The 3,384-nt window shown below is 52.5% G+C and overlaps 1 annotated feature.

The window, feature by feature from the left end:
- Positions 2,244-2,896: an enhancer, noted in NCBI's record as "H3K4me1 hESC enhancer chr2:8727462-8728114 (GRCh37/hg19 assembly coordinates)". NCBI's record gives its function as "activates a minimal SCP1, AML or CMV promoter by ChIP-STARR-seq in naive H9 embryonic stem cells {active_cell/tissue: H9 hESC(naive)}" and the evidence as "EXISTENCE:reporter gene assay evidence [ECO:0000049][PMID:30033119]".

A 3,384-nucleotide genomic window follows, 5' to 3' on the forward strand; every position in this document is an offset into this window, starting at 1 on the left:
AATATAATTCACATCGCCAGGTTCTGATATGAATTATAAAATATAAATTATAAAAATGATAAGCTTTATATATTTTTCCACAATTTTTAAAAATATGCCAAGAAGCAATGGATTGTACACTTTCAATGGGTAAATTGTATAGTACGTTAATTTCTCTCACTATAACTGTTTTTAGAAAATGTTAAGAATGGAGATAATAATAATGTTACCTACCTCTAAGGGTCATTAGAGGAGAATGAATGAGTTCACACAGTGCTTAGAAGAGCTTACAATAGTGACCAGCACAGGATAAACCCTTAACTGGTGTTGACTGTCATATCAAATATACCTCATATGTCACTTCGTTTCATCTCTGAAACAACTCTACGGGTTAAAATGTATTTTTCCTTATTTTATGGGCAAGAAAATTGACAATCAGAAAAGTTAAGTCACTTTTTTTTTTTTTTTTTTTGAGACGGAGTCTCACTCTGTCGCCCAGGCTGGAGTGCAGTGGCGCGATCTCAGCTCACTGCAAGCTCCGCTTCCCGGGTTCACACCATTCTCCTGCCTCAGCCTCCTGAGTAGCTGGGACTACAGGCACCCCCCTCCACCACGCCCGGCTAATTTTGTTTTTGTAGTTTTAGTAGAGACGGGATTTCACCGTGTTAGCCAGGATGGTCTCGATCTCCTGACCTCGTGATCCACCCGCCTAAATGCTGGGATTACAGGTGTGAGCCACTGCGCCTGGCCAAGTTAAGCCACCCATGTGGAAGTTGCAGAGCCAGGATTCAAACCCCAATTACGTCTGATGCCACAGTTAGTCCAGGTCTTGGGGAAGATGTTGAGAAGATGGTATGTCGCTGTCTTACCTGGCTGAGTAGCCACAAGCAACAAGCCAAAGGGCACCCTGAGGGGAGAACACTGTGGCTCTCAGTGGCCGCCTCGGGAGAAACAGCAGCAGCTACACCTGCAGGTGGGGGGTGGGGAAAGAGGCTGCGGTAGGCAAGCGAGTGGTGGAGATGGGGGAGGATGCAACTTCCCTGATCCATTTAGAACTGAAACGTCCCACTCACTAGTGCCACCAGCTCCCACTATAGCCAGTGCACCTGACATGCAACAAGAGCTTGAAACCGCGTCACCTTCCTGAGGAAACAGAAGCATGACGGGGTTTGGGGATCGGTGAGAGTCTGGGTTTTCTGGGGCCTTTTTCATTTTGTTTGAGGATCCTTTTTAAATTGTTATTATTCGACCCACTCAGAAATGCCTGAACTTTCCGCTTCCAAGTTGGCTGGAAATCACCTCACAGGGACGTTGCTAAGTGAAAATTAAAGTTCTTGACATTTGAGATGTCATCCTGCTCAGACACGAAAGAAAAGGTCACCAGTGTAAAGGGTAACCCATGAGTGGTGAGGTTCCCACAGCAACACCCAAGTAACACCAGATACCTCTGAGATTGCTGCTATCAAGCCACAGCCCCCAGGAGCTCCCAAGCAGGGGGCCTCCCCCTTGGCTGGAAGAGCAGGAGAAGATTCTGGGCTCCATGAGAGGGCTGGCAGCTGTAGAGGCTGCCTGGCCTGGGATGCTCCATTCCCCTTCAGGATGTCCAGCTGGGCTGGACCGGCCTCTTCCAAAAGTGGAACTCGCATTTGACCCCTGGGGGAGGCCATGGTAGATCTGAGGGAGCCAAAGAGGTCCCCAAGCCAGTCCAGGAGGCAGGACAGGGGCCTGGAGCCAGGAGACAGAGCAGTGGATTCAAAGCCAAAGGGGCTGGGTTGATTCACTTTCTTCTCACGGCAGCCATCCGAAGCGAGGGCTGCTGTGATTCATGGTGGGGGAACAGCTAGAGCCATGGGGCGGCCGGTGGGACCAAATCAAAGGGTGATGGCCAGGCACGAGCGCTGCCAGAGGTGGCCCGTGCCGGCCTCACAGGGCAGCGAACGGGGTCCGGGTCAGGTCACGCCTCAGGAGCCAGAACAGCTCATGTCAAACCAAGACAAGGTGTGAACCAGGTCAAGATAGCTCACCTTCAAATCTGAAAACAGCCCCACGTTGAGGACAGGTTTGCAGCAAACCTAAAACCTGGAATTTGAGAGGTCAAACACAGTCCCAGTCTAAACACATTTGCTTTAAAGTAAGAAAAAGTGAGGTCTGGAGCACATCTGGAGTTTCACATCTGGAGTGCAAGTGGCACCGTTCAAAACGGGACTTCGCGTTTGAGCCCAAGGCCCCCTCGGCTCCCTGGTCACCTCCCCGACCGGGGGCAGAGCAGATGAGCTCCAGACAGCCAAGGGGGCAGCACTCCAGCTTCCTCCCCTCCCTCCTCCCAGGCCTGCAGGGGAGAGGAACTTTCACCCACGTGGGGGCCCCTCCTCCACTGCAGCTCTTCATCTTAGAAAGATGCCAGGTAGGATGTAACCTGTGGCCACCGCGGCAGCACGGCCACCCCATCCTCCTGTCCCGACGGCACAAAATGGCTGCTGGGTCCTTCTTCCACTCTGCAAAGTAGTTGGATCTCCTTCAGCAGTGGTCCTCAGACCATGGCTGTCCCCTCGGTCTCCAACTTATTCTCTCCCTCCGGCCATCTTCCAACAGCCTCCTAGCTGGCTCGCAGTGACATGCAGCGTGAGCTACCAGCCCTCCATATCAGGGACCCCCCAATGTGAGGGCCGCAGAGCTGTGCCCAGGGCTTTACCCGAAACCTGAATGCTTCAGGGACCAGGCACAACCAGGTGAAGCCCTCCAGGGCCTCTCGCCTTCTCACGTAAGTAGTGCTTCAGTCCTGAGCTCCGCCCTAGCAGCCCTTGTATATGGGTCCCAAGCTCTAGTCTAAATACCCAGTGTCTGTCTCAGTGGTGAACACGAGTTGAAGGCTTTATGCTGTGGTATAAAGTCATCCCCATTCTACAGATTGGGAAACCAGGATCCAGTGGGGCAGGTGGGAACCTGGTAAATGGCAGAGCCCAGTTTGAAGCCAGGCCTGCCTGGTGGAACCCTGTGCCACCAACCCTGGAGAAACCCACCTGGCCTCCTCTGCTCAGGCCCCTGTGCCACCAACCCTGGAGAAACCCACCTGGCCTCCTCTGCTCAGGCCCCGCACTGACCCTGCTGGCTTCTCCACAGCCCCATCAAGCCCCACAGGTCCTCAGAAGGTCAAAAGCCTCGGAAACAGTTCAGCCAGAACAATTTTGCCACCCAAATGGTGACTCAAGGAGGGAGGCAGAAGAATGCGTAAGTCTCCCCCCAGCTTCTGCAGCCTCATTCATCTCTAAGTCTGGTCCCTGCTTCTACTTATTCAACAACATCTTAGTGCATGCTGGGTGCTGCTGGGAGCCCCCTGCCTGTACTAACACACTGGGCCACCTCACGGATATCATTCCCATTTCACAGATGGAAAAACTAAGGCAA

Source organism: Homo sapiens, chromosome 2 (assembly GCF_000001405.40).
Source record: "Homo sapiens chromosome 2, GRCh38.p14 Primary Assembly".
Classification (NCBI taxonomy): Eukaryota; Metazoa; Chordata; class Mammalia; order Primates; family Hominidae; genus Homo; species Homo sapiens.